Source organism: Homo sapiens, chromosome 2 (assembly GCF_000001405.40).
Source record: "Homo sapiens chromosome 2, GRCh38.p14 Primary Assembly".
NCBI classification, from domain to species: Eukaryota; Metazoa; Chordata; class Mammalia; order Primates; family Hominidae; genus Homo; species Homo sapiens.
This window is the reverse complement of record NC_000002.12, coordinates 170,957,614-170,967,837: the sequence shown is the minus strand read 5'-3', so window position 1 is coordinate 170,967,837 and position 10,224 is coordinate 170,957,614. Positions and strand designations below refer to the sequence as shown.

The 10,224-nt window shown below is 43.1% G+C and overlaps 1 protein-coding gene across 2 annotated transcripts in view; it reads right to left on the bottom strand.

The window, feature by feature from the left end:
- Positions 1-707: 707 nt before the first annotated feature.
- GORASP2 (golgi reassembly stacking protein 2) overlaps positions 708-10,224 on the bottom strand; it is a 38,654-nt gene continuing 29,137 nt past the window's right edge. For both annotated transcript variants that reach the window (NM_001201428.2, NM_015530.5), the window contains exons 8-10: positions 6,089-6,175; positions 4,892-4,999; positions 708-2,048 (exon numbers count right to left, since the gene is read on the bottom strand). In NM_001201428.2, the coding sequence (NP_001188357.1) occupies positions 1,708-2,048; positions 4,892-4,999; positions 6,089-6,175 (536 nt within the window). In that variant the 3' untranslated portion in view covers positions 708-1,707. The remainder of the gene's footprint in view (positions 2,049-4,891; positions 5,000-6,088; positions 6,176-10,224) is intronic.

Here is a 10,224-nt window from a genome sequence, read left to right as displayed (position 1 = left end):
AAAAAAAAAAAAAAAAAGTCCCTCAATCTCCCTAGAGATTAGTGTTTCATTTATGCTACAGATATCTGCCCAGGAAGAGAGCCCAGCCTGCCGTCGTTGCCAAATGAGAGCTGTGACTGCACCAGAGTTCACAAGCATTGCCTTGGAAGAACTGTTTAAAAAAAAATCATTTTGTAAAACTTAAAAATTACTTACTTGCTTTCCACTAAGGGATCTCCTTAATATTTTTTAACGTAAAAACAACAAATATTAAGGAGATCTTAATATTTAAGAAATCTTTTACAAAGTAGTAACTTTCTCAACTTTTCCTATCCTGGAAAGTCAAAAATCATAACATTTAAATGTGCTTGTGAATACTTTCCTCACCTGTTATAAGCTTCTTTTCAAAAAATGGGATTAACTGAAATATTCTAGAAACATTTACACAGTGTAAACAGAAGCAGCTATGATTAGGGCTGGAGCCTTCTTTCATCATTCAGTTTTAAGTACAAACCTGGCCCCAGAAACGGATCTACTCCCAAAACTGGCTGGTACTGGGCCTCCTGGGAGAGTGCTGGGCTGGCGTTGACCTCGAGTGTCCAGCAGGGCGGCCAGGGGTGAGTGACATGAGGGTGATGTGAGGGTGCTGCCACCTCAGCCACGTCCTCCCTGCAGGGGATGAGCATCTTCAGACTCATACCAGGGCAATAACTGAGGAAGCACTTTTGTCTTATTTCAAAAACAGGGATATCTGCATTTAATTTCATTCAGTAAATCAATTCCAGTTAACTTACCATCTCTTAAAAATGGGAGAAAGCAAACATAGGACGTGAAAAGTTAAAGATGCGTGACATACTGGAGAGTAATAAGACATACTGGAGAGTAGTAAGTGCACACGTGGCAATTAAGGGTTGTAATTTAGATGTAACACAAGAAAAAAAGTAAAATTACTGTACTTTATTGCTGTATCTATGCTTTCCCAGTATAGCTATAATACTACAAGGAGCCACAGAGTGCCACCTTCTGGTTTAAAACTGTGGCACCTTATTTCTTTTGAAATGTCACTTTATAAGGTGTATGTAGAAAGCAACAGCAGCAGTTACAAAATGTTGTCTGAGTGATTCTGAGAGCTCAAAACAAGGATCCGCGTATAGGCTGAAGAAAAAGACGTTCAGTTAACAGTGCGCGCTGTAGAACTTTAACACAAGTCTTCAGGTGGAATTCCTGTGTAAACCTTAGTAGAGATGCGACTCACGGAGACCAAAAGTAAAAATCTCTTTACCGTTTACAGTTTAGTGAGGTGGTCTGCATTCTCGCAAACGACTTACAAAGTACAAGAAATGTTGCGTGTGAGTATTAGGCATAGAATATTTCATTTTCTTACGGAAGGAGCAGCAGGGGACAGGAAACCTAGTGGACGCCCCGCCACCACCTTTCCCGAAGATGCACACCCCCAGGAACGGCAGTGCAAGCCTGGCAGCAAGCCACCCTTACAATTCTTTTTGGTTGTTTAAAATACAAGCGCTTTCTGACATCTCACCCTAGCGTGTGAGCCCCACTCAACCTGGCAGGATACAACCCACGTCCTCGTTTAGTTTTCCCCTTGGAATTATTTACAGGATGCCTACAGATACGGTACAAACTAGTATGAAATTAATGATAGTTTGCGTTTCCAGACACGCTCCCGTGGTTAAATATACCACGCCAATTCCAAAGAATGGTTCAAAGTTAAGGTGACTCAGAAGCATTGGCATCCACAGCCGCAGAAACAGGCTTCTCGCTGACTGGGGTGGAGTCGCCGACTCTGTCCTCAACGGTGGTGGGGGCCTTGGCAGTGGGGGGCGTCACATCCACAGTGAGTGAGGAGGCAGCGTCTGCCTTTGCAGTAGTTGTGGCAGGGTCGGAGGGTGCGTTGCTGGTGGGCGGGAGGGAAGACAGCAGCTCTCCTGAGCTTGCTGCAGAAGAGCTCTCTGGAACCAAGGGGAATGACGGGAGGAACTCGGATGGCAGGGGGAGAGGTGCAATGCCAGGTAAGTTTCGGGGAGGCATGGAAGGAAGAGGTGGCAGACCTAGGACAAAAACGGCATAGATCATACATCCTCCCAGCACTGAAAGGACAGCAGGCATTGTCAAAGGGCTATTTTTATTTACATTTCATTAAGGAAACTGAAGTTGAGGAGGTAACACAAATCACAACCTTGGCTGATTTCCAGATAGAGGCCCTGGCAGGGTTAACTATTCCCTACAATCGCAGCTGCCTGAAGGAATAGGTTCTCAACTTCTAGGCTCCATGTAACCTGGCCCAGCACTGGGGGAAACTGGCTCAGGGAAGAAAGATAGATAGGATCCTTCCAGTCAGAAGAGATAGCAGCCCACCCAGCAGGTGACACAGCTACACTGGATGTCAGACAGGGGGACTCATGCTCACCCATGCCAGCTGCAAGCTGAGTTACAGCTGCATTCTTGACAGACAACAGGGAGAGGTAGGCTGCAACCCTCCTGCGAAGGCAGCAGAAGGGAGGGGCCTGGATTCTCGCCCTTTCCACTGTCCTCACCAGGAGTACTCAGCATTTGCTTAAAACCTGTGATTGATAACTATTTATATTACACTCAGTGGGCTCATGATGATGATTTTAAAATGCAAGGCCAGGCGTGGTGGCTCACGCCTGTAACCCCAGCACTTTGGGAGGCCAAGGTGGGAGGATCGCTTGAACCCAGGAGTTGGAGACCAGCCTGGGCAACATAGCAAAACCTCGTCTCTACTAAAAAAAAGTACAAAAATTAGCCGGGCGTGGTGGCACACACCTGTGGTCCCAGCTACTAGAGACTACAAGGCCACTGAGGTGGGAGGACTGCTTGAACCCAGGACGCAGAGGTTGCAGTGAGATGAGATTACACCACTGCACTCCAGCCTGAATGACAAAGTGAGACTCTGTCTCAAAAAAAAAAAAAAAAAAAAAAAAAAATTAAAATGCATATGAAGGAAAGGAGAATTATTTCAAGAAACAAAGGAAAGGCAGGGTGTAAAGCACAGGTTCAGGGCAACCACCAGCTGGTGAAATCCTCACTACTTAGAGCCTGTCAAATTTAGGGAAAGGGCAGAGGAGGAGCCAAGAATACAGGGCACAAAAGGTGGGGTGAGCGCTGCGACAGTAAATGGTAGTTTGACTACTACTAGTACTTCATTTTTATTTTTATTTTTTTTTGAGACGGAGTCTCATTCTGTCACCCAGGCTGGAGTGCAGTGGTGCGACCTCAGCTCACTACAACCTCCGCCTCCTGGGTTCAAGCGATTCTCCTGCCTCACCTTCCCGAGTAGCTGGGATTACATGCACCTGCCACCATGCCCAGCTACTTTTTCTATTTTTAATAGAGACAGGGTTTCACCATGTTGGTCAGGCTGGTCTCGAACTTCTGACCTCAGGTGATCCACCCACCTTGGCTTCCCAAAGTGCTGGCATTATAGGCGTGAGCCACTGTGCCTGGCCTAGTACTTCATTTTTAAACCTTTGGCCTGAAAACTAAGTAGGTTAAGGAATATACACAGATGGTGAGTGTTACAAGAGGGACAATTATCATCTAGACAGAAACAAGATGGTGACGATGCACACCATGGTGCTGTAAGATCATTCACTGACATCACTGACGGGCCTATAAAACTACTGAGATGACCTATTAAAAGTCAGCCCTCCCAAAGGTTAAGGTATGCTGATCATTAACTGCATGGACTTGTAGGAAGCTGCTGCTTCATTTTCAGACAGAAAATCTGAGTGCAGACACTTGGAATATCTGCTACCGTAGACATCTCCAGCTAAAATTTCCCATAGTTTTGAGTATAAAAGCATTTGTAAATAATGGAGAATATTCACGTTTGTTTTTTTATATGTATTTTTTTTTTACAAAAGAAGAATACTGGCTGGGTGAGATGGCTCATGCCTGTAATCCCAGCACACTGGGAGGCCAAAGCAGGAAGATTGCTTGAGCCCAGGAATTCAAGACCAGCCTGGGCAACATGGTGAAACCCCTTCTCTACAAAAAATACAAAAAAATTAGCCAGGTGTGGTGGTATGTGCATGTAGTCCCAGCTACTTGGGAGGATGAGGTGAGAGGATGGCTTGATCCTGGGAGGTAGAGATTGCAGTGAGCCAAGATCGGTGCCACTGCACTCCAGCCTGGGTGATAAAGCAAGACTCTGTCTCAAAAAAACTAAACAAAACAAAAAATACAAGCCCAGCCAGCTGAGCAGGGGTGATGAGAATGGTGGGGAATTCATTCGCCTCCACTAGGCAGCCTGTACACTTTCATTAAAGTCAGTGCAGCAGGGCCACTCCACTGTGCTTTACTGCTACTCTGGGGCGGGGGAGGGGGGCGGGAGGAGGAGGAGGGGGAGGAGGAGGAGGAGGAGGAGCAGCAGCAGCAGCAGCAGTAGCAGCGGGGACTGAGAGACATTCTTCTTTCCTCTTAAGCTTTTTTTTTTTTTTTTTGAGATGAAGTCTTGCTCTGTTGCCCAGGCTGGAGTGCAGTAGTGTGATCTCAGCTCATTGCAACCTCCACCTCCTGGGTTCAAGTGATTCTTCTGTCTCAGCCTCCTGCGTAGCTGGGACTACAGGCACCTGCCACCATGCCTGGCTAATGTTTATATTTTTTCAGTAGAGATGGGGTTTTGCCATGTTGGCCAGGCTGGTCTTGAACTCCTAACCTCAGGTGATCCACCCACTTCGGCCTCCCAAAGTGCTGGGATTACAGGCGTGATCCTCTTAAGCTTTTTAAACAAAAAAGATGAATATTTATTTGAAGTAGCTGAAATCTGTTAAACTGATTTGCTCTCTCCAGAAAAAACTGAAGAGGATGGGCATTCCTGAATAAAACTTTTATTAGAGAGAGTCCTAGGAGGGTGAGATCTGCAACATACCTGGGTTTACAAGTTCTGGTAAGCCAACCCCTGGCATGATGTGTGGTGCTGGGAGGTTGAGGTTGAGGTTGGGGAGGTTGGGCAGTCCTGCTGGTAAAGGCATCAGACCTGAAGAGAAGGCAGAAAAGAAAAAAAGAGAAATCACTTGACCTGGGGAAGAAATAAATCCTCGTGTATTAAAAACAATCCCAGCCACTTCTAAGTGACAGTACCAGAAGTCCACCTAATGTGTGGCAGCTGTGTATCATAACAATATAAATAACAAAATTTCACTTAATTGAAATATATTTATCTACCTAAGTGATTAGATAGATTAGGTGGCTAACTGGGTGAAGATGAAAATAAATAACTAATACTCTTAACACTCTGGAATAAGAACGATGATGGCCCGAGCGCCTTGGAGAAAAGGCTGATTTGTTTCAGTAGATATGGCAGATAATGAAACTGAATTTTTCTTTGATGGTTGAGGTTTACAGTCTCTATGACTTTTAAAATTTCTTATTCTGAAAAATAACTGCAGACTTACAGTTGCAAAAGTAGTAAAAAGAATCCACCTTTCACCCAAATTCCCACATGTCCACATATCAGCACACTTGCTTCATCATTGTGTGTGTGCACACATTTGGTTCATGGCTTAATATGCTTGGATAATGACATTTTTAGCCATACATTAAAAGCCCTCACAATGAAAGTATATTTGATCACTAAAATAGTATTTGATTATTATTGGCTGGATAAAGGGACTTGGTCTTCACTGGGAATATGAAGAGAAAAACACAAAAATTTAATTTAATGTTAGAGCTACTGAAGACCAAATAAGAAGCCTTCTCTTCAGGCTCACACGAATGACTGCCAGGAAATCCTCACTAAGGAGACAGTGGAGAATGGACTTCTGCAGATTCCTTATTCCTGGCCGATGCTGCACTGTAGAGCTGCAGGGGCAGTAGGTGGCCGCTGGCTGGGGGTAAGGAGCACTAGGCTCGGCAGCTAACTAGCTGGTAAATGACATCTCTGGTTCCTTGTTTACTAAGGAGAGTTGCCCTAGCTCTCATTTATCACAAACTTATTGCAGAGATAAACTGAGATTAAAAGACATAAAAAGTTACCACACAGGTATAATATTTTTCATTGTTTTTAAGATGCAAATATCAGTAATACTGTTATTATCAGCCACATCTCTAGTCCCCTGGTGGTTACCTGGTAATGTAGTAGCTGGATTCATTGGTGGCACAGAAGTGAGGGACTGGTTTACTTGTGGTGGCAATAACGGTACTGTTGGTACACCTAAAAAGAAAGCACAATCTTTTCATTTCTAACAAATTTAGTCGACAAGAAATGAACAGAACACATTAGGACAATCTGCAGTCCCTCCTTGCCCCGTGGTCAGGTCTTCATTTGGTCCCGATTTCCAGCTGCAACTGACTGTCCATCACCCTTTACGGCAGATTCACTGACTCTGCCCACAGCTCTCAACAAAGGCTGTTACCAGAGCCTGTGACAAGAGGGCAAGAGGCCGTGCAGTCCCACCCCAGCCCAGCTCACTGGACAAGAGGTTTACACCTGACCCAAGCAGGGCTAGATTAGAAAACTGTCTTAGAAATTTGTATATGGGACACAAGGATTCTAGTCAATCTCAACTGGGCTCCTAAACTAAGATGCCACGTAAGCCAGGGGTTGCAGGGGGACCATGTGCCCTGTGAAACAGTGAATGCTAGTCTGTGAAAGAAAAGAATGACATAGATGGCCTGAAAGAGACAAAAGAGCAGATGAACCTCTAGGATGGAGAGAATGACTTGGCTTCCTGAATGTCCATTTCCTTTTGACCTTAGGTTCTGTGACAGTCCTTTGAAGTCTAACACAAACGTGTACTAACATTAGCTTGAGGAGGTTACGTTCCTCACGTACAAGTAAGCCTCAGGATACCACCTAATCACGTTTACCACCTACCCCAGTGGGACGTTTTGCTGATGTCGAAACAATAAATGAAAGCACACCTTTCACTTATTTAGCACTCATTTTCATTTATCTAGCATAGATTCCAGATTTTGTCTTACAGATCTGCTTACATATGGTAGCGGGAATAAATTGTGCCTAAAAGTATGAACCAACCATGCAGGCAGTCTATTATTTATTCATTTATCTACTTTTCTGCGGAATTCAGAGGCAAGCAAAAATAAGAAAAGTCTAACTGAAGCACTGGCAAATGCTCTACTGGATCCCAGACTGCATAATTTCACTGAAATAAAAGAAGCTGTTCTCTACTCTGTACCAAAATGTTAGTGAGTGTGTGCTTTGTTAATGGTCACACACAATAGCAATGCTATAATTTTTTTATATTTGTTTTGAAATCTCGGTTTTAAGAAAACAAAAGCAGCTTGGATTGGTTAAGCCAATTTCTTCTCTTTCCCAATAAAGTCTTTCACATAAGTTTCTTTTCATTCTTAAAGGATAGATACATTCACAAGTTTCAAAAATAACTGACTAAATCTAAGCCAGGAAGACTCAATCTAAGACAGGAATTCTAAATCTAGGGCCCACAAGTGGGCTTCAGGGGGTCTGTGAAGCTCCTAAAATTGTATACAACAATTTTTCGAAGGCAGGTTCTTTGCTTTCATCAGATTCTCAATGGAGTTGAATGGATAGTTGAGTGTGGTCATTCATTCAAGTTTTTTGGGGGGCACCTACTGTATGTTACACATTGTTCAAGGCACTGAGGCACTTTACAACATGAAGAAATCAGAACCTTTAGGAAATTTACATTCTAATGAGGGGCAGGAAAAAGGAGAAAGATCAAAATACATAGCATGTAAAATGGTGATACACTTGGGCCAGGCACGGTGGCTCATGCCTGTAATCCCAGCACTTTGGGAAGCTGAGGTAGGTGGATCACCTGAGGTCAGGGGTTCAAGACCAGCTTGGAAAACATGGTGAAACCCTGTCTCTACTAAAAATACAAAATTAACTGGGCATGGGGGTGAGCACCTATAATCCCAGCTACTTAGGAGGCTGAGGCAGGAGAATCACTTGAACCCAGGAGGTGGAGGTTACAGTGAGCCAAGATCATACCACTGCACTCCAGCCTGAGCGACAGAGCAAGACTCCGTCTCAAAAAAAAAAAAAAAAAAGAAAAAGGTGATACACTGCAGAAAAATCAAGCAGGTCACAATGATCGATGCCACTTCAAAATCTTTTCTAAAAATTTTATAATCCAAAAATCTTCAAATCCACAAAAAAGTTTAAAAATACATATACTTTTATTTCTCTATAGTTACTTTTATGTCTCTACAGTTACATTATATAGGCTACTGTATTACACTGTTACAATGTATAGGCTACTTTGCAAGCAATATAATGAAAAGTGAAGACTGAAAAATGCCCATCAAAAAGTTGTTTCTCACGTGTTGTGATGCTAGAACATTTTAGTCTTTTTAAATTTATTTACTCAAAAGTGATGATGTCAATTTCTTTCAGTCTCTTTTGAGCAATTAGTGCTTTATTTACATTTGTCTTTAACAGTCAAGAAGCCATTTCTCTGCAGTGCCATAAGCCAGGGAGCTCCGTGCATGTGTTTATCAGACAATACAAGTATAACTACAACGTAATGAGGAAAGATTTAAAATGTCGAAGAGAAACTGGGGCTTGAAGAGACATGTCAACTATCGCCTAAAATCAGAAGCGCATCTGGGGCCGGGCACGATGGCTCATGCCTGTAATCCCAGCACTTTGGGAGGCTGAGGCGGGTGAATCACCTGAGGTCAGGAGTTTGAGACCAGCCTGGCCAACATGGTGAAACCCCGTCTCTACTAAAAATACAAACAATTAGCCGGGCATGGTGGCGTGCGCCTGTAGTCCCAGCTACTCGGGAGGCTGGGGCAGGAAAATCGCTTGAACCCAGGAGGCGGAGGTTGCAGTGAGCTGAGATAGCGCCATTGCACTCCAGCCTGGGCAACAAGAGTGAAACTCTGCCTCAAAAAAAGGGCCGGGCACAGTGGCTCACGCCTGTAATCCCAGCACTTGGGGCAGCAGAGGCGGGCGGGTCACTTGAGGTCAGGAGTTTGAGACCAGCCTGGCCAACATGGCAAAACCCCATCTCTGCTAAAAATACAAAAATTAGCTGGGTGTGGTGGCACGTGCCTGTAATCAATCACAGCTACTTGGTTAGGCTGAGGCAGGAGAACTGCTTGAACCTGGGAGCCAGAGGTTGCAGTGGGCAGAGATAGTGCCACTGTACTCTAGCCTTCCTGGGCAACAGAGTCTGTTTTTTTTTTTTTTAAAAAAAAAAAAAAAAAAAAAGAGCATCTGGAAACACGCTTACTCTAAAACAAATATGAACAATTCAGACTCAAATGGGCTGCTGCCTTGGGAAGTACACTACCCTACCCTTACTAAGTCTATTCAGGAATAAACTAGAGAATTATGTGATGAGATGTAGGCAAAAAATCGTAATATCATAAAAAGGACTCATACTGCTTGAATGAAATAAACTTTAAGTTCCCTTCCAACTCTATGATTAGAGACTGATGACATTAATACTTAATTTCATCTAGGAAGCATTCTAAAACTGGATTGTGGTGATGACTGCACAATTCTATGAATTTACTAAAAATCATTTAGTTGTTTACTTATTGTGAGTTAATTTATGGTAGGCAAATTATTTATCGATAAAGCTGGAAAAAAAGAAAACCAGCAAAGAAGGCAAAGGGGAAGTATATCCCAATATTGATAATTGATAAAGTTGGGTGATGGGGTTCATTATACAATTCCAGCTCTTTTGTGTATGTTTGAAATTTTAAATTTCATCTAGAGAAATAAAACCAGGACTAAAGAGCTGGGATGAGAACCTAGGAGACCAATTCTAGACACCAAACTGTCAACCTTACTACTGCATCTTGGTAGGCTGTTTTAAGTCCATTACAGAACAAAGTGGGATATAAACAAATTGTGAATATAAATATTTAAGACAGCCCAGAAATAAAAGGTATTAATGAGGCTAGGAGCCATGACTCGCACCTGTAATACCAACAATTTGGGAGGCCAAGGCACGATGATCACTTGAGGCCAGGAGTTAGGGACCAGCCTGGGCAACAGAGAGACCCCAGCCCTACAAAAACATAAAAACTAAAACTTCAGAAAAACTGATAATGCGTACAGGGTTTCTTTTGGTGTGATACAATATTCTGAAATTGGTTGAGGTTATTGGTTGTACAACTCTACAAATACACTAAAAAAACACTGGATTGTATACTTTAAGCAGGTGAATTGTATGGTAATATGCATTTTATCTTGAGAAAGCTTTAAAATAAATAAATAAAACCCAAAACAAACAAAAAGGA